The sequence below is a fragment of the Homo sapiens genome, chromosome 7 (genome assembly GCF_000001405.40).
Source record: "Homo sapiens chromosome 7, GRCh38.p14 Primary Assembly".
Classification (NCBI taxonomy): domain Eukaryota; kingdom Metazoa; phylum Chordata; class Mammalia; order Primates; family Hominidae; genus Homo; species Homo sapiens.
The window spans coordinates 73,998,147-74,018,558 of record NC_000007.14 but is presented as its reverse complement, the minus strand read 5'-3'; the positions used below and the strand labels follow the sequence as shown (position 1 = coordinate 74,018,558).

General features: G+C 54.2%; 3 annotated features.

Moving 5' to 3' along the window:
* Positions 5,366-5,685: an enhancer, noted in NCBI's record as "active region_26134". NCBI's record gives its function as "activates an Ori minimal core promoter by ATAC-STARR-seq in GM12878 lymphoblastoid cells {active_cell/tissue: GM12878}" and the evidence as "EXISTENCE:reporter gene assay evidence [ECO:0000049][PMID:35858748]".
* Positions 14,617-15,816: an enhancer, noted in NCBI's record as "CDK7 strongly-dependent group 2 enhancer chr7:73417073-73418272 (GRCh37/hg19 assembly coordinates)". NCBI's record gives its function as "activates an origin of replication core promoter dependent on BRD2, BRD4, P300/CBP, MED14 and CDK7 cofactors, with strong dependence on CDK7, by STARR-seq in HCT116 cells {active_cell/tissue: HCT116}" and the evidence as "EXISTENCE:reporter gene assay evidence [ECO:0000049][PMID:35650434]".
* Positions 17,807-18,307: an enhancer, noted in NCBI's record as "H3K4me1 hESC enhancer chr7:73414582-73415082 (GRCh37/hg19 assembly coordinates)". NCBI's record gives its function as "activates a minimal SCP1, AML or CMV promoter by ChIP-STARR-seq in primed H9 embryonic stem cells {active_cell/tissue: H9 hESC(primed)}" and the evidence as "EXISTENCE:reporter gene assay evidence [ECO:0000049][PMID:30033119]".

The window sequence follows — 20,412 nt, the reverse complement described above, 5'->3', positions numbered from 1 at the left end:
CTCCTGCCCCCTGCCCCTCCCAGAGGAGATTGAAGCCTGCTGGGGATGTAGCAGTGAGGGTGAGTGTGTCTGTGTGTGTCTCTGTGTCAGTATATCTGTGGATGTGAGGCACTGTGTGTGCATGTTGTCATGTTGACTTTTGCCAGATGACATCTGCTCACGCAACTGCTAATGCAACTCATAAGAGTATTTTATTTATTTTTGAGACAGGGTCTTGCTCTGTTATCCAGGCTGCAGTGCAGTGGTGCTATCATAGCTTACTGCAGCCTCAGCCTCCCGGGCTCAAGTGATCCTCCCGCCTCAGTCTCCCGAGTAGCTGGGACTACAGGTGTGCACCAACACGCCCGGCTACTTTTTAAATTTTTTGGACTTGGGGTCTCATTATGTTGCCCAGGCTGGTCTCAAACTTCTGGCCTCAAGTGATCCTCCCATCTTGGCCTCCCGAAGTGCTGTGATTACTGGCGGGAGCCTCTGCGCTGGGCTCCCAGTGTGATTTTAACTTTAATTTCCCTGATGAGTAATGATGGCGCACACTTTCTCACACGCTTTTTGGGCATTTGATTATCCTTGTTTGTGAAGTGACTTTTTACGTCTTATGCACATTTTTGAAAATAGGATTGATATTTCCTTATGATGCGTGGAGTTCTTTATGTTGATACAATTCTGCAGTTAGCTATCTGTGTGAGAAAGATCTTCTCTCAATCTTTGGCTTGCCTTTATTTATATTTATTTTGATTGTTTGTAGAGATGGGGGTCTTGCTATGTTGCCCAGGTTGGCCTTGAACTCCTGGCTTCAAGCGATCCTCCCACCTTGGCCTCTCAAGGCACTGGGATTATGAGCATGAGCCACCCTGCCTGGCTTGCCTTACTTTTAATGCTGTCTTTTGATGACTACAATTCCTTAATTTTAACAAAGTCAAATGTATCCGTCTTTTCTCTAGGGGTTAGTGCTTCATCTGTCCTGTTTAAGAAATCTGTGCCCACCTGAAGGTCATGAAGATAATCTGTTAAGCTTTATTTTAGAAACATTACAGTTTTCCCTTTCACAATTAGGTCTATGACCTACGTTGACACAGCATTTTAAATCCCCCCAGAGCCAGGACTTGGCCTGTCTACCCTCACCCTTCCCAAAGCGTGGTGGCCTCAGCGTTTGGAAAAAAAACTCTTCCCTCCTGGGTCGTCAGCTGCACAGCCTCTTTCGAGGGCCCCAGCCCTTCCTCCAGCCCCTGGAATTAATAAAAGCTCTGAGCTGCCTGTGGTTTTCAGGCTGAGAGCTGGTTCCAACGCCTGTTAGGATTCAGGCAGCAAGCTGGGGGCCACCATCCTTTCTCCATGTGGGTTTTTGTGTTCCCTCTCCTGGTGGTGGAGAAGCTCACCCATTCATGGAACTCTGAGGGTCCCCAGACCAGAATAAGGAATCTCTCTTTCTTTTTCTTTTCTTTTCTTTTTTTTTTTTTTTTTTGAGACAGACTCTCACTCTGTCACTCAGGCTGGAGTGCAGTGGTGCGATCTCGGCTCACTGCAACCTCCATCTTCTGGGTTCAAATGATTCTCCTGCCTCAGCCTCCCAAGTAGCTGGGATGACAGGTGCCTGACACTGTGCCCCGCTAACTTTTGTATTTTTAGTAGAGATGGGGTTTCGCCATGTTGGCCAGGCTGGTCTTGAACTCCTGACCTCAAGCGATCCGCCCCCCTCAGCCTCCCAAAGTGCTGGGATTATAGGTGTGAGCCACTGTGCCCAGCCCGGAATTAGGAATCTTTAAAGAGCCCTGGCTGGGTGAGGTGGCTCACGCCTGTAATCCTAGCACTTTGGGAGGCTGAGGCAGATTGCTTGAGGTCAGGAGTTCGAGACCAGCCTGGCCAACAAGGTGAAACTTCGTCTCTACTAAAAATACAATTAGCCAGGCATGGTGGCACATGCCTATAGTCCCAGCTGCTTGGGAGGCTGAGGCAGGAGAATCACTTGAACATGGGAGGTGGAGGTTGCAGTGAGCCGAGATCGTGCCAGTGCACTCCAGCCTGGGTGACAGACGGAGACTCCTTCTCAAAAAAAAAAAAAAAAAAGAAAAGAAAAAAGAAAAAAAAAAGAGCATCTTATCTAGTCCCTCCTTACTCCTCCCTAAACTCTCCCTACAGCCTGGATTTCTCTCAGCTGCCTCTCTCTTTAATGGGCTGGGGGAGCTCATTCCAACCAGTATGGCAGATAGGTTCCGTCACCAACTGTGTTTGATGGGCAATGGCCATCAGAAGTGGTGTTAAGAAGGATTCTGAGGATATCCAGTCTCAGCAGACGGGAATCACACAGTCAATGGGTCATGTCTGCTGGGAGCAAGAAGTGGGAGGTATGGCCTATACTTTGTGTCTTAAATGACCCTGATCTAGTCTAAATCCCTTATTAGGATTAATCCAAAGTAGAGTTTAAATGATTCATTCAATGGTACTCAGGCATCAATTAACAGAGATGGTTTGTCTGGGCGCAGTGGCTCACGCCTGTAATCCCAGCACTTTGGGAGGCTGATGTGGGAGGATTCCTTGAAGCCAGGAGTTAGAGATCAGCGTGGGCAACATAGCGAAACCCCCATCTCTGCAAAAAACAAACAAAACAATTAGCTGGGTATGGTGGTATATGCCTGTACTCCAGCCATGCAGGAGGCTGAGGTAGGAGGCTCACTTGAGTCCAGGAGCTCAAGGCTGCAGTGAGTCATGACTACGTCATTGCGCTCCAGTCTGGGCAACAGAGTGAGTCTCTGTTTCTAAAAGAAAAAAAATAATAATAATGATAATAAGATAGTTTAGAAGCTTGGCTATTACCCATTTAACAGAAAGGCACTTACTTGTTTATTCAGCAAATATTGATTTAGCAACTACTAATTTCTGTTCCTGTGCTGAGCATTGAGAATATGATGGTGAATCCAATCTAGTCTGATGTCTGCCTAATTCTGCGTTTCTCCCTTGACTCCAATATTCAATGTATGGACTTAATGGAGCCATCTCACGGGATAGTCACTTACCATCTGGTGAGCCAGCTGTTCCTGGGGTGGGATTATAATAAAATTTTTAAAAAATGGAACTTGGGGCCAGGTGTGGTGACTCATGCCTATAATCCCAGCAATTTGGGAGACCAAGGTGGGCGGATCACTTGAGCCCGGGAGTTCGAGACCAGCCTGGGCAATATGGCAAAACCCCATTTCTACAAAACACACACACACACACACACACACACACACACACACAAAATTAGCCAGACTTAATGGCGTGTGCCTGTAGTCTCAGCTACTTGGCGGGGCTGAGGCTGGAGGATCGCTTGAGCCTGGAAGGTGGAGGTTGCAGTGAGCTGAGATCGTGCCACTGCACTCCAGCCTGGGTGACAGATTGAACCCTGTCTCAAAAAAAAAAAAAAAAAAAAAGAAAATAAAAAAGGAAGTTGGTGGGTAACTGGGGTTCTGAGGTTGTACTGTTTCTCTCCAAGTACCTTTGCAGAAAGAGGTCCCCAAATAAGGCCTGTAAATGAAAAGATGTGAAAACACAAATCACTAATGAAATGGACCAGGGGGGCTCCTGGGTTTCTATGATGGTCCTTGGAGACTGTTCGGGCACCATTCAGCACCATTCGGTCCTCCCCTGGTTCTGCCCACCTGCAATGCCTGTCTCCCTCTGAGCCGGCCTCAGGACCTTCCGCCCTTCCCCAGACACGCCCTTCCCCAGACACCCCCTTCCCACTACACCCCTGTGGTTAAAAGCAGAGGCTCTGAGTCCACATGGCGCAAGTTCAAGTCCCTCTTGTTCCACTTTGGGCACTTTGACCTTGGGCAAGGTACCCTCCCTGAGCTTCAGTTTCCTCATCTCTTAGAGAGGGTGTGGCAGGGAGTCAGGGAGCTCAAGCACATTGCATGCATGCAAGCACAAAATAGCTGCTCAGCAAAATCTTAGCTACAGCCCTGCTCAGATCCCTGGTTCAGGGCCGTTTGGAGAAACTGGGGCAGTAAAAAGAGGTGTGGCCCCGTCCTGGGGCTCCATAGAAAATTCATTTCTGCATCCTCTACGTGGAGCTTTGCACTGAGCCTCGGAAATGGTAGAGACTCGATCAAGGCCTGTAACAGGAGGGAGAACCAGGGTTTTGTTCTCAACTTTCTGCTTCTTTCCTTGTGGGAAAACCCAGATTTGTTTCAGGGGAGTGAAGGAGCAGGGTCTGTATGTTTTCTGGACCAGGTGGGCTCGGAGAAGGCCCTGAAGCTTCTGTCAGATGAGAGGGGCCCCAGGAGGTGAGTCCCGACCCTGCGGCAGAGCCACTCCCTGGGGTCCAAGTGAACCTCCACCGCCCGCCAGGCCCCATGTTCTAGCTTCAATCATGTCCACCGCCCTGGCTGGGCCCCAGCCAAGCCCTCACTCGCTGGTGAGGGCCAAGCCGAGGCTGTGCCAGGCTCAGCGGAGGCCCTTGGCCAAGAACAGCAGAGCCATTCTCAGGAAAGCTGAGGGATTAAGCTGGGAGGCCAGCAGGGATTCAGGTATCCGCCCTCTGCCCCAGCTTGGCCATGGGAGGCAGGGCGACCTCACAGTTGTAAAGCAAAGGGACTGACCAGAGCCACCCACCCGGGGACCTGAGGACACAGTGTGGCCTGGACCAGCTCGCTCCTGCGGCCGCCTCTGGGGAGGAGTCGAGATCACATGGACTGATGCTGAAGGACTCTGGCCTAGGACCTGTCCCTGATCTCAGGCCCGCCCTGCCCTGGTGTTGGAATCTTAGCTCCTCTGGGTCTCCTGGGGGCTGTGCTCACCTGGAGGGATGGGTAGGATGACGTGGATGCCTCAGTGCAGACAGTCCCTTCTGCTGGGGCCACCTTTGTGTCTGGCAGGGCTAGTATGGGGCGGACAGGCCTGGCCATGGCTGCTGGGCTGTAGTGGCAGAGGTGATTGGGGTCAGAGGGCTATATGTGTCTGCCCAGCCCCTGGGGGGAGGGTCTCCAGCTTGGCTCTGGTAGGGGTCCCTAAACTCCTGGGGCTCTCTCTCTTCCACCTCCCCCTGTGGAGGGGCTTCTGTTCCCTGACTCCCCCTGGGTAGAATGTGGTTCCCGCATCCCTGTCCTGTCCAAATCCAACCCACACTCAGGACTTGCTTGCCTCTAGGGACCCCAGACTGGGCCATGTGCTTGCACCTGCTCCCAGCCCCCTATTCTCCCCCCAGGGTGACACTGGCTGCACTGAACTGCTACCATCTGCAGACAGCCCTGTCTCTCTCGCACTGGAGCCCACCTCAGGCAGGGCCGCCCCCTTCTCTTCTCCAATCTCCCTCTCCCCACTTGGCTAATTCCAATGTCCCTGGGCCATGCTGGCCGCTGGCTGGGCCCCGCCAGAGCAGGTGGCTGCCTGACCTGGCCTGGTCCCCGTCTGGGCCGCCTCTAGGCCCCTCCCTATGGGCCCAGGCTGATGGGGGTGTCTGCAGGGATGCTGACTCAGATGTTATTTTGGGCTCCCCTTGGGCCCGGCGGGCTCTGGGGCCTCAGGCCTGTTTAGACGGCTGGGCCGGATGTGACTGATTCCAGGCCCCTGGGCCTCCACCTACTGGGTGAGAGCCAGGCCAAGGTAGACGCTCTGGGCAGGGGGCAGGCAGGTCGGGCAGGCCTCGCGGGTCCAGAGATCCCAGGTCCAGCCCAGCTTCCCTCCTGCACTCCAGCTGCCTGGAGGCCCCGCCTTCCTCACACCTCATTCACAGCCCCAGGGGTTCCAGCTGAGGGCCTGAACCTGGGGGCTGCCATCCTAGGCACTGAGAGGTCATTTTCTTTTTCTTTTTTCTTTTTTTTGGGACAGAGTCTCACTCTGTCGCCCAGGCTGGAGTGCAGTGGCATGATCTTGATTCACTGCAACCTCCTCCTCCTAGGTTCAAGTGATTCTCCTGCCTCAGCCTCCCAAGAAGCTGGGATTACAGGCGGCTGCCACCACATCTGGCTAATTTCTGTATTTTTGCTAGAGACGGGGGTCTCACCATGTTGGCCAGGCTGATCTTGAACTCCTGACCTCAAGTGATCTGCCTGCCTCGGCCTCCCAAAGTTCTGGGATTATAGGCGTGAGCCACTACGCCCAGCCCTGGAGGATTTTCAGTCCCAGAATCCCTGAATGAGATTGCCAGCTGGAGAGAGCCAGTCTCCAAGGGCATAGCCTCAGTATCCCCTCGGCCCCAGATACACACCTGTGCCCCCAAGGTAGGGGACTCGAGGCCCAGAGACGCAGAGACAGGCCCATTCCAACCTGGGTCTCTAACTCCCAGAATATGCGCCCTCTTCAAAGCTGCTCAGCGGAAGACCAAGGGACAAGTCCCCTGGGCTCCCCAAGCCCCACATGGGCTCTGCGCCGGGTGTCCCTGGCTTTAAGAACACTCCCTCTGTTCAGTGGGTCTCGGCTTCCTCATCTGTCAAAGCCACTGTTCGGGCTCCATTGGGAGCCCACGGGCCAGGACGACCTCCAGATTTGCTGTTGTAAAGTGGCCACCCAGGCAGGGGCAGCTGGTGCTGCTGGTCTTGGGGGCAGAGCTTCACCATCCACCCCCCCCGGAGTAATATATAATTCTATTATTTGTGTTCTGAGAAGCTGGCTGTTATATCTAGAGGCTTGATTAAGGTAATATTCTGGCTGGGCACAGTGGTTCACACCGGTAATCCCAGCACTTTGGGAGGCCTATGCGGACGGATCACCTGAGGTCAGGTGTTTGAGACCAGCCTGGCCAACATGGCGAAACCCCATCTCTACTAAAAATACAAAAAATTAGCCAGGCATGGTGGTGCACTCCTGTAATCCCAGCTACTTGGCTGAGGCAGGAGAATCATTTGAACCCGGGAGGTGGAGGTTGCAGTGAGCCAAGATCGTGCCATTGCACTCCGGCCTGGGCAACAAGAGCAAAACTCCATCTCAAAGTAAATAAATAAATAAATAAATAAATAAATAAATAAATAAAATTAAAGAAAATAAAGTAATATTATTTCTTGGTCACCCAGCCTGGATTGCAGTGGCACAATCACAGCTCACTGCAGCCTCAACCTCCTGGGTCCAAGCAATCCTCCCACCTCAGCCTCCCGGGTAGCTGGGACCACAGGTATGTGCCACTATGCCTGGCTAGTTTTGTATTTTTTTGTAGAGAGGGGGTTTCACCCTGTTAGCCAGGCTGGTCTCGAACTCCTGACCTCAAGCAATCCGCCTGACTCGGACCCCAGCCGAGAAATGTTCAAGGAAACGTGCAAATCCTTAAGCTTGGTCCACTGTGTCCAAATTGAAAACAGGAGTGGGCTGGAGTGTGCAGTTAACCCCTGAAGCGTGGGTGGTTGGCCAGGACTGGGGGCTGGCGGGCAGGTACCACCTGCCACCCCCTCTGCAGGCTCTACTGCGGGCAAATCCAGGACTGGCTGGTCGGTGGGTGCACGATGTCAGCCACCTCATGCATTGGGCTCAGTGACACCCAGACCTGCTGCCTAGGTGGGAGGCATTTCTGAGGGCCAGAGGGGCAGTGGGGGGAAAGGCTGGCAGCTGCTTGGTCCTTAACACTCTCTCCCTTGCCACCATTGGGTCCCCAAGGAAGCCCACCACTGCCGAGACTCAGAGCCGTGAGAGAGCCCATTATATGGAGAGGAAGCCTGAGGCTCAGAGGGCTGTGGCTGTGCTTATTGCACCCCATCTGTCTCCCAGGGTGTCTCTCTGTCAAAGACAGTGCTTGGTCAGCAGAGCTGGGGGCTGGGTGCGGGGGTGACCTCTCTTCCCTGCAAATTCTTTCCCTCTAGATCCCAGCCCCAGAGATGTTCCCCCAGGTTTCCCAGGCAGGTGGTGCAGGGAGTGGCTTTGCTGAGGCCAGGCCCCACCGGAGTGAGGACACTACTGGCATGGGTGGCCCTCGGCCCGGCAGCCGCCCAAGCATGCAAACGGCCATGTGGACGGCTGTTCTTGCCCCGTTCCCAGAGCACGCACCAAGGAAAACATAGAATGTTTCTTGGATGACACAGTCTCCTTCCAAAGTCGTGCATTCCGGTGGGAAGCCAGCGAGGAGGGGGTCACAGCTGTCTGCAGTGGTGGGGGCTTGCGGCGGCACGCACAGTCCTGCCTTGTGGCTGCTGGGCTTGGTGGCAGAGGTGATTGGCGTCAGAGGGCTGTGTGCGTTTGCCCAGCCCCTGGGGGGAGGTCTCCAGCTTGGCTCTGGTAGGGGTCCCTGAACTCCTGGGGCTCTCTCTCTTCCACCTCCCCCTGTGGAGGGGCTTCTGCTCCCTGACTCCCCCTGGGTAGAATGTAGTTCCTACATCCCTGTCCTGTCCAAATCCAACCTGCGCTCAGGACTTGCTTGCTTTTAGGGACCCCAGACTGGGTCATGTGCTCCCACCTGCTCCCAACCCCCTATTCTCCCTCCAGGGTGACACTGGCCACATTCTGCCACCATCTGCAGTGGAGTCTGGGCCACGCACACAATCACAGGGGTCTGCATTGGGTACACCGCCGCGTGGCTGTGTCGTGGGCCCGCAGCTGTGTTCCCGTCCACACAGGCTGTCTGTGGCCACCCGGCCTATGACACAGCCCATGCCCTGGTTCTGTCTCCTGCCAGGGCGCTCAGCTTGTACATCCATCTCCCTGCTCCACGGGGACAACTGGTATGACCCTGCCGATGTGTGTCCTTAGCCCTGGGCAGGCAGCGGTGCATTCCAGGTCCTTGCATGCAACTGCCAGTCCCCTGACTGAGCATGCTTTGCCAATTGTCCTGCCCAGGCACCAGCTGGTGTGTCCCCGGAGTGGGTATGTCCTCAACCTACTCTCGACAAAGGGCTGCTTTAGGGAGTCAAACAGCTTGCTCTCCCACTGTTTGCTGTAGGCGTGGGTAGATATGTCTCCCCACCTCCAGACTCAGTTTCCTCCTCTGTCAGTGGGCCCGGTCATTCCCCTCACATGGCCGCCGTGACCATGACCTCAAGCAATCCGCCTGACTTGAGGCAGGAGGAAGGGTCATAGCCAGGGTACTTTTGTCTGTTGGCCCAGGGCTGAGTTAGCGGGGACTGCAGAGAGTGTGTGTGTGGAGCGGAGGACTATGTTGGATGCTGGATCTTTTTCCTCTTGGTGCAGGGCCTCTTCACAAAAGGTGGGAGCCTTTAGCTTTGAACTTGGAGATTCTTTTTTTTTTTAAGACAGGGTTCTGCTGTGTCGCCCAGGCTGGAGTGCAGTGGTGCAATCATAGCTCATTGCAGCCTCGACCTCCGGGGCTCAAGTGATCCGCCCACCTCAGCCTCTCATGTAGCTGGGACCACAGACACACACCACCACACCTGGCTAATTTTTTAAACTTTTTTTGTAGACATGGGGTCTTACTTTGTTGCCCAGGCTAGTCTTGAACTCCTGGGCTCAAGTGATCCTCCTGTCTCTGCTTTCCGAAGTGCTGGGATTACAGGCATGAGCTACCACGCCCAGCCATGAACTTGGAGATTCTGAGTCCTCAACAGCGCAAGGTGGAGGTCAGGGACCTGCAGAGGGCATTCCTGAGGACTTCGCCCTGGAGAGCCCCCATCAAGAGAGTAGCAGGCTTGCAAGAATGCTGAGTACTATGACTGAGAGGACTGGATTGGGATGAGGGTGCCGCAGGAGCTGAAGGCAGCCCCTACCTTACCTTAGAGAGGCAGGAATGACTCTGGAGGAGGGCACCTATGAGATGGGTTTTGAAGGTTGCATAGGAGTTCACCAGCAGATCAGAGCAGAGAAGGCTATTAGAGCCAAGGCATCACGTCTGCAAAGGCCCAGAGGTGGCAAGAAATGCTGGGCACACTCAGGAAAGTGCAGGAGGTCAGGATGGCTGAGCTTAAGGAGGGCCATGATGAACTGCAAAGGAGGAGAGGCTGGCAGGGTCTGGTCATGAGGGGCTCACGTCCAGGCTAAGGGGCTTGGGTGTCATCCTGAAGGCAGCAGGGACCCAGCAGCAAAGTGACACAATCAGGTCTGGAAGATGGAAGCGGTGGTGTCAGTGAGAGGTGGGGTGGCCTGCTCTGGTGCAGTGTTGTTGGGCCCTGAAGGACCCAGGAAAAATTCTGAGACTAGGTTTGCCTTGAGAGAGGATGCAGAGTTAGGCACGGTTGAAATGATGACGTGGAACAAGGGGTCCGGGCTGGCTGGAGCAGGAGTGAGGCCCGGTCCTGGGAGGCCATGGGGCCTTCTTCCATCTGAGATGGCTGCTTTGCCCTTCCCCGGTCTGGGTGTCTCTGGCTGGTACGGGAGAGCTGGGGTGCCCGCTCCCAGCTGTTTACATCGCTTGCATACCTCTGGGCTCTTATCTCTGAGGGTCTGTCGTGCATGCCCACCTTGCCAAGTGATCCCATCCCTGCTTGCCTCATAAATCAGGCTGGCCTCTCCCCAACGCCTCTGGCTCCTACCGCACCCTCCTGGCGCTGCCCACCTTTGCCCTGCCTGGAGGCAGAGAGGGGCCCTGAGGTTAGCCTGGGGCCTGTCCAGAAGCTCCTGGCTCTGCAGAACAGGTGCCCTGGGTGATCCAGGCCCTAGAAGTGTTCTCAAAGGTCCCCAAAGATGGCTCCAGGGGTCACCTTCCTCCTGGTCCTAGAGGGGTGGTCGAATCTGCTGTTCCCTGCTGGGGCCTGACCTGGAGTGAGGTGGGAGTGGGCGGATCATGGTCCCACATCTCAGGGGGCCCAGAAACCAGCTCACACCCTCAGAGGATGTCTCGTAGAAGCCCCGTGCCTGCACTCCACTGTGGCCCAGAGTCACTGTCGCTGCTGTATTGGGACTCATGTGCCTTGTCTATAAAATAGGCGCGTTCACTTATTCATTCAACACTTACTGTGTGCCAGGCCCAGGCATGGAGATGAGCCAAGTAGAGCCTCGGCCCTGAGTCCACAGCCTGGAGTGGGTGATAGACAAGTGAAAAGCAGTGCCCCAAAGTGTCTCATGGCCCAGGACGGGTGGCAAGAGGTACTGCAGGGGGACCGATGTGGAGCAGTCAGAGAGAACAGGAATGGTTTATAGAGTGCTGGTGGCCAGTGGCTGGGTAGAATGAGTTCTCCAGGTGGAGGCAATGTGGGGGACAAGGGCTCAAGGGGGTGACAGTTTGGGGACCTGCCCTATTTTCTCTGATAGAGTGAGGGCTGGGGATGGGGCAGCAGACACTGGGAACCAGACCAAGACTTTGTCCTGAGGCACTGGGGAGCCATGGAGAGTTTGAGGCAGGGAGCATCACAGATCTGCATGTGAGCAGGTGCTCTCTGCTTGCCAAGTGGAGAATGAGCTGAGGCAGGTGGGGAGCTCTATTAGGAGGCTGTGGGATCCTGGTAGGGGGGCAGTTGAGGGCTCAGAGGAAGCTCAAATCAGAGGAGCTATCCAAGGTTGGCTTTGGTCCCAAAGCATCACCACTGCCTTGACACCTGCTGGCCCAGTGTGGAGGAAAGGCTGGCACATCCCTGGGAGACATTCATCATTTGGGCCATCTGGCCAGGGCTCCCTGACATCTCTCCATGGAGGGACACATCCAGGGCCCTGTGCCAGCCCAGACCCTGTGGGCCCATGCGTGGGGAGTATGAGAGGTCAGATGAGGCACCAGCCCTGCCTGGGCCATCAAGGAAGGTTTCCTGGAGGAAAGGCATTTTTCAGCCGAGTCTTTGAAGACAAAGAGAACTTTGCTAGTTTAAAGGCGGGCAGGGAGCACTGCAATCAGCTGGCCCCAATCCAAAAAGTACAAAGACAAGAAATAGCAGGCGAGGCTTGGAGTGGGAGCTTGGGAGGGCAGAGTGGAAAGAAACCAGGCCAGGGGGCCCAGATCCTGCAGAACGGAGGAGTAGGAGTGCGTTAGTGGAGGTCACTGGGAGCCATGGGAGGTTTCCACAGAGGGTGACATAGACAGATTTGCACCCTGGAATGACCCTGGGGGCATCACCTCTTACGTAAGAAACGGAACTGGGCGCGGGCACCAGCGGTCCTGGAGAAGGAGCTGCAGGGGTCTAGGGGAGATGGGGACAGAGGGTCAACCTGGCATCACAGGGGAGGTGTCACTCAATCTGGGCCTTAGAGGAGAAGAAGAAAGTTGTCTGGACAGCGGAATGTGGCCCACATCTGTGTCCCTAGGCATGGTACAGACCCAGGGCTTGGGAAGAGAGCACATGGGTCGATTGTCCCACGGACACCATCCTGTCTTAGAGGGAGGTGCAGACAGTTTGGGGATCTGAGGCTGCTTCTCCATCCATGGGAGCTCTCTCCTTCCAGCCTTTCCAATAGGGCTGCAGACTTAAGAGGCTCCTCGTCCTGCCTGCAAGGCAGCTGTTTGCTCCCAGCACCTGCTCTTAGCTTGCTTTTGCTTGGCGCATTCCTGGAAGGACGAAGGAAGGTCTGGGGAAGCTTAAGACCCATCCCTGTGGTCTCTCATTCCCCATTGCCCGAGGCATAGATCTGGGAGCTCAACAGAAGCCCCAGAGGCCATATCCTGTCTTGGTGGATCACAGCTTCACAGAGCTAGAGATGTTTGTTTCCTTGCAAAGTCTTCCCCTAGAATTTTTCCCTTCCTTCCTTCCTCTCTTCCTCCCTTCCTTCCCTCTTCTCTTTCTTTCTCTCTTTCTCTCTCTCTCTGTCTCCCCTCCCCTTCCCTTCTCTTTCTCTCTCTCTCTTTTTTTTTTTTTTTGACAGAGTCTCGCTCTGTTGCCCAGGCTGGGATGCAGTGGTGCAATCACAGCTCACTGCAGCCTCGACCTCCTGGGCTCAAGCAATCCTCGCACCTCAGCCTCCCGAGTAGCTGGGACTACAGGCGCATGCCACCAAGCCTGGTTACTCTTCTCTGTAGTTTTTGGTGAGACAGGGTCTTGCTATGTTGCCCACGGTGGTGTCGAACTCCTGGCCTCAAGCAATCCTCCTACCTCGGCCTCCCAAAGTGCTAGGATTACAGGCATGAGCCACCATGCCTGGCCTCCCCTAGGATTTTCTTCCCAGTGGTGGGCTCCTGAGAACTCGGCGGGAGAGGGGCAGAGTCGTGGGAATGCACAGGCTAAAATAATATAAAATAAAGTAAATCATGCAACAGCTTTGATGAATCTGAAACGTAAGGGTAGATAATCTAGGATTCTATTTACATCAAATCAAAAAATGACAAAAGGAATCTATGCTGAAGTCAGAGCAATGGCTATTCTTAGGGGGAGATTGGGGGCTGGGAGGGGAATAAGGGAAATGGGGGTCAGAGGGGCTGGCATGTTGATCTGAGTGCTGTCAACAGCAATGTGTGTGGTTTGTGAAAATTCCCATTCGATCTGATGCAAGTTCACATACGCTGTGTGCATGTCTCTGTATAAATAATATCTTAGGTCAGGCGGGGTGGCTCACGCCTGTAACCTCCAACATTTTGGGAGGCTGAGGCAGGCAAATCACTTGAGGTCAGGAGTTTGAGACCAGCCTGGCCAACATGGTGAAACCCCGTCTGTACTAAAAATACAAAAATTAGCTGGGTGTGGTGGCGGGCACCTGTAATCCGAGCTACTTGGGAGACTGAGGCAGGAGAATCACTTGAACCCAGGAGGTGGAGTTTGCAGAGAGCTGAGATTGTGTCACTGCACTCCAGCCTGGGCAACAGAGTGAGACTCCGCCTCAAAAATAAAATAAAATAATGAAATAAAATAATTATAAATAAATAAAATCTTGATTTAAAAGTTCAGGCCAGGCACTGTGGCTCACACCTGTAATCCTAGCACTTTGGGAGGCCGAGGCAGGTAGATTGCTTGAGCCCTGGAGTTTGAAACCAGCCTGGGTAAGTTAATGAGACCCTGTCTCTACAAAAAATACAAAAATTAGCCACACATGCTGGAGCACACTTGCAGTCCCAGCTACTTGGGAGGCTGAGGTGGGAGGATCGCTTGAACCTGGGAAGTGGAGGCTGCAGTGAGCTGAGATCGCACCACTGCACTCTAGCCTGGGTGAAAGAGTGAGAGCCTGTCTCAAAAAATAATAATGCTAATACTAAAAAAAAAAAAATTAAAATTAATTAAAAGTTCAGACGTCAGTTGGAGTATTTTATTCTATGTGATATCATATCTGTGTATGTACATGTATGGATGTGTGTGTATGTATGCATATGGATGGATGGATGTGTGTGTATACATACATATACACATGTATGTATGCATCTATTAATCATCTGTCTCTATACTTTGGGGACAGTTGAGCCAGTGCTCTTTCTCCATGCACATTTGGGTTTTCTGCTGGGGAGTGAGGTGGAGGGAGGTATTGACCATGGATTAGGTCCCCCTGCCCCCTGCTAACCCAGGACAGAAACCCCACAAACCAGGCACCCAGGGAAGGGGAAGGGCTCCAGGGTACACCTTTAACTACAGAGACACACAGCAACACCGGCCAGAGGGGACAACTATGTCCTCATTTGCAGTCCCTGCAGACCGGTGGATGGAGGCAGATGAGACAGCAAGCCCCCAGGACCGCCTATATACACCCCAAAATAAACATATGTTGACCGACTGACTGCCCATCCAAAAGCTGCTGCCTAGCACTGCCCAGGGACCCCTGACAACAAGCTGGAGGACACACTGACTTGTCCCAGTTACCAGGAACCTTTGGAAAAAGTGCCATCAGCACAGTCAGCCCAGACTCAGAGACTAAGCATAAGGGATAGACAGCTGGACACTTGGCATGCACATGTCACATGCAGAGACATCTGCAGGCACACATGTGGGCCCACACACAGGCTTGCACCCAGGTGACAGGCATCGGCAGAACTGGCAAGCCCTGGGACCCAGACCCAACGCCGCAGAAGGACTCAGCCCTCCCGGGACGAAGGCGCGGGGCTGGTGCTGGTGTTGAGTCACCCTTTGTTGGATGATGAAAGGGGTAAGACACAGATGCCCAAAGAGCTCTGGGGACACCCCAGTGGGCACAGACACACCCTTGCTTGTTCTCTCAATGGCTTTCTTGTCTGGCCGTGTGTTTTGGCCAGAAGGGGATTGGCCTCAAAGGGCCATTGGAGAAACAAGAGAAGATTCTAGAAGGGGTAGAGGGTGCGTACCGTCTCAGATCGGAGATCCTAATCTGGGGTCCTCTCTCCCCTGGAAAGAAGATTCTGGAAGGGGTAGGGGTGTGGACTGTCTCAGATCGAAAATCATAATCTGGGGCCCTCTCTCCTCTGGAAAGAAGATTCTGGAAGGGGTTGGGAGTGAGGACAGGCTCAGATCGGAGATTCTAATCTGGGGCCCTCCCTTCCCTGGAAATAAGATTCTGGAAGGGGTAGGGGTGTGGACTGTCTTAGATAGAAAATCCTAATCTGGGTCCCTCTCTCCCCTGGAGATAAGATTCTGGAAGGGGCTGGGGTTTGGGGCCCTCTCTCCCCTGGCCTGGGGCACCTGTCCCTGTTCCCCTGACCCGGCCACACTGTGATGACACGAACCTCTTGCCACCCCCAGCCCTGGGGCCTGGCTGAGGTCCCTTAAGGGTCTGCTTTGCCCCCCACCCTCACCTCCAAAGTGCAGCAACAGCTTTGCCAGCGACCTCTGACCTCTCCCTGACCCTCCACTGCCTCCCACCTCCCACCCTCATTACATCCCCGGCCCTGACCTCATGTCTGCGGGGCCATGGGCGAGGGTGAGATAAGGCGGCCATTGCAGGCTGTGCTCCCTCCTGGGTACCGACGGGAAGGGCGGGCCAGGCCGCCAGCCTCAGAAGAGAGTGGCCCATGACTCACCAGGTGGGCAGCGCCCAGGCCGGCGTCCGGGAGGAAACGCCACTTCCTCTGGGTGAGGCAGGAGGCTGGCGGGGGAAGCTTTCTGGTTTATGCATTTTTTGAGGTTTTGTTTCAGGAGTCCTTCACTTCTGTGTCAAAAGATCTTCTCCCACAATTTGTTCTAGCAACTTCAGAATCTTACTTTTTTGTTTGTTTTTGTTTTTAGAGACAGGTTCTCCATCTGTGGCCCAGACTGGAGTACAGTGGTGTGACCTAGCTCACTGCAGCATTGAACTCCTGGGCTCAAGCGATCCACCCACCTCAGCCTCCCAAGTAGCTAGGACTATAGGCACGAGCCACCACAGCTGGCTAATTGTTTATTTTTGTAGAGATGAGGTCTTGCTATGTATTCCCAGTGCCTTGGGAGGCTGAGGTGCGAAGATCGCTTGAGACCAGGAATTCAAGACCAGCCTGGGCAACATATTGAGACCCTATCTCTACAAAAACATTTTTTTAAAAAGATTAGCCGGGTGTGGTGGCATGCACCTGTAGTCCCAGCTAGTCAGGAGGCTGAGGCGGGAGGATCGCTTAAGCCCAGGAGTTCAAGGATGCAGTGAGTTAGGATCACACACTGCACTCCAAACCTGGGAGACAGAGCAAGACCTTGTCTCAAAAAAACAAAACAAATAAAAAAAACACCAGACTCTGAGAAGAAAGAGTAAGACAGAAATATAATCCATAGCCCAGTTCCACTTGGGTAAATCAAAACTCCTCCAAAACAGTGATACACATATTAAGAAATGGAGGTAAAATTCACATAACATAAAGTTAACCATGAACCACTTGTAAAGGGTACAATTCAGTGGCATTTAGCACACTCACCTCTATCTAGTTCTGAGACATGTGAGTTACCCCAAAAGGAAGATCCGTCCCCATTAGTAGCCATGAGTGATCCTTGTTTTACAAGAACGCACGTGAATGAAAGGGCACACCTTGAATGCATTGGAAAGGTTGCCTGTGGGTGTGGGTGGTGGGTTAGGAATGATGGGAATAAAAGGGACTGGATAAATAAAACCTCTGTACTCCAGGGCCAAAAAGAGATTTAAACACTAAAACAGGCCGGGTACAGTGGCTCACGCCTGTCATCCCAGCACTTTGGGAAGCTGAGGCGGGTGGATCACTTGAGGCCAGGAGTTTGAGACCAGCCTGGCCAACATGGTGAAACCCCGTCTCTTCTAAAAATACAAAAATTAACCAGACGTGGTGGCGGGAGACTGTAATCCCAGATACTAGGGAGGCTGAGACGGGAGAATCGCTTAAACCCAGGAGGCGGAGATTGCAATGAGCCATTGCACTCCAGTCTGGACAACAGAGTGAGACCCTGTCTTGGGGAAAACAAAACAAAACAAAACAACAAAAAACAGAAGCTGGAGGTTCTGACTCTCTCTACCCCATGCATTCAGGGAGTAGAGACCCTGGAAGGACCCTGGACTCCAGGAGGCTGCCCCTTGTCTACTCCCCAGCCTCCTGGTACAGGGCAGAGAACAGGCTGGAGTTGGTGCTTGGGCCTGAGGAGGCGCCCAGCAGGAGTGAGGTGACGGTGAGGAGGCTGTTGGTGTGAGGCAGTGAGGAGGGGACAGACAGAACAGGGCTTGAGGACTCTCTTGGGGGGTGCACGGTGTGGTGCTGTCTGTGTGGCTGCCAGGGAAGGGGGCAGGGACCTGAGAAGTGTCAGGCCCCACTTTCTCGTGGTCCCAGGCTTGGGGCAGGGCAGGGCTTCCTTTTCCAAGCAAGAAACCCAGACATGTGGCTTGCCAGAGGCCGTTTTGTTTTTTGGATTTGAGAACTTATTTATATGAAAAGTCTTACCAAGGTATAAACATTCTGGGCCTTTGCACATGCTTTGGCCTCAGCTGGAATGTTCCTTCCAAGCAAGCCCCCTCTCCCACTGCGTGTCCGCCTGGTGAACTCTGGCCCCTCTCAGGGTGCAACTCCCTTCAGAAAGCTTTCTCAAACCAGCGTCCTCCCCTGCAGCCCCAGGGCGGCCGCTCTCTCCTCCGGGGACCCACAGTCCCTCCAGCCCCCTGGTTCTCATGTGACAGTCACCTCCATTTTTTCATCAGTCTTTCCTCCATGCCCCACTTGGCGGTGAGGCCTCCTCTGCCTTGGTTTCCCCTTTTTCCAGGTGCCCGGGACACAGTGGAACTCAGCACGTGTCAGGCAGATGGGTGACACGTGGATGCTCAGTTACACCTGCGGGGCTCGGGGCTGGGGCCAAGGCTATCTTCCCAGCATCGGGTCATCTGGGTTTGAGTCTGGGTGGTCTCCAGCCCCCTCCTCACCTCCCCTCCGCTACTACAGGCAGCATCCCCAGTCTCTCTGCTGCCAGAGACCTTGGTGCCCGAGTCTGCGAGGAGCTTGCTCTCTGGAGAGTCAAGACCCCAGAACCAAGATGGCAGAGGCGAGATGAGATGAAGCAGGCTCCCACCTCAGGGGGCTTGGTGACAGGGCCCAGGATGATATGTGTTGTGTTCATGTCAACTGCCCTGGGTTGGCCAGAGAGGTGGGGTCACCACGGAGATCCTGCCCCCGCCCCCGCCCCCCCCCACCCGCCGCCCCGTGAGGCTGAGCTGCTGAGCTTTGGTCTGAGAGAAGGAGCAACTTCCAGACCCTCCAGGGACCCGAGGGACGCCCCCGTGACAGCGTCGCAGGCCCTATCTCCAAGGGAGACTCTGTTCCCAGACCAGAGGCCTGCCCGGGCCATGCTGGGAGACCTTGTTTAAGCCCCAGTTTGGGAACTTGAGGGAGAGAAGGGATTTCTTTTTTTTTTTTTTCTTTTTTAATGCACGTACTTTGGTTTTTCCTTGCAACCAACTCCTAAAGCCACGACTCCACTCCCCACTTGGCAGGGATGCCCGCCTCGTGCTGTTGACCTTGGCAGTGGGTCTGCGGGGACTGGAGCTCTCACACCATAAATTCCTGTCTTCTAGGAATTCAGCCTGGGAAAGAAAAGAAACACGGAGGAGAATATTTGATTAACATTTTTCCAACGTGACCACATCACAGGGGCGTGTGGCCGGAATTCTCACCCTGGACTGGGTAGGGCGGGACTCGGCTCGTGGCCCGGCTGCTGGGGAGGGTGGGCCTGGGTTTTGGGGGGCCCTCCTGGCCTAAAGGAAGAGTGGGGTCTGGGCTGGCATTTCCCCTTGGGATCGGGGCTGAGGAGGTTCCTGGACAGAAGCTGGGCCAGGTCGGCCACCCGAAGGGTGAGCAGCTCAGGGAGCTTATCTTCAACCTCAGGACCACCAGGGATTGGACCCTGAGCTCAGGATGGACCTCAGGGGTGGGGGGCTCTGGCCTTGCCTTCACCATCTGCTCCTGACTCTGGGCAGAGCCCTCTCTGATCCCAGATTGAGTCTTTTTTTTTTTTTTTTGAGATGAAGTCTTGCTCTGTCACCCAGGCTGGAGTGCAGTGGTGCCATCTCAGCTCACTGCAACCTCCACCTCCCAGGTTCAAGCAATTCTCCTGCCTCAGCCTCCCGAGCAGCTGGGATTACAGGTGCCAGCCACCTTGCCTGGCTAATTTTTGTATTTTTAGTAGAGACAGGCTTCACCATGTTGGCCAGACTGGTCTCAAACTCCTGGCCTCAAGTGATCCACCCGCCTCAGCTTCCCAAAGTGCTGGGATTACAGGCGCGAGCCACCACACCTGGCCTACGTCTTAACTCCAACTCCAGACTGAGACCTGGCTCCAGGTCTACCGTGTCCTCTGAGCCCGGCTCATGATGACTTGTGGCCCAGACCCCAGCTGGTTTTGGGCTTCCCTCTGTTTGAGCTCTTGCACAGCAATCCTCCATACCCCCTTCACTGTCTGAGAACTTTTTTTTTTTTGAGACAGAGCCTCGCTCTGTCACCCAGGCTGGAGTGCAATGGTGCGAACTTGGCTTACTGCAAACTCTGCCTCCCGGGTTCAAGAGACGATTCTCCCACCTCAGCCTCCTGAGTAGCAGGGGTAATTTACAAGCGTGCGCCACCACGCCCAGCTAATTTTTTTTGCATTTTTAGTAGAGATGGGGTTTCACCATGTTGGCCAGGCTGGTCTCGAGTTCCTGACCTTAAGTGATCTGCCCTCCTCAGCCTCCCAAAGTGCTGGGATTATAGGTGTGAGCCACCGCGCCCAGCGCTGTCTGAGAATTTCTGACCTTTTGTCCTCAGCCTCAGGCTAGCTCTAGGGGACTGTCCTTACCCTTGTGTCTCCAAATGTCCAAGTCTATGGCCATCTCCCTGTGGATGAGAGGCCACTTCTGCCAAAGGGTGACCCCACCCATGCTTGGTTCCCCTTCCCTCCCCTCCACCTGCTCAGACGTCTCAGCCCACGAACCACCTTTAGGGTTCCAGCCACGCCTCCTTTTATTGGCCCCTTCTCGTTGGCATTTAAGCATTCCATGAACAAAATAAAAGAAACCCCTTCTTGAACCCCACTCCCACCTCTGGCTGCCCCATCTCTCACCTCTCTGTCACGGCCAAACTCTTCAAAGAGCTGTCTGCACACGTGTTTCTACTTCTCACCTGCTGCTCACTCCTTGGCCGGCTCCTGCCTGGCTCTGGCCCCCACCCGCCACCCAAACACTCTCACCCAGGTCAGCAGTGACTTCCATGCAGCCCAACCTGATAGCATTGTTGTTTTTGGTATTTATTTATTTTGAGACAGGGTCTTGCTCTGTTGCCCAGGCTGGAGTGCAGTGGTGTGATCC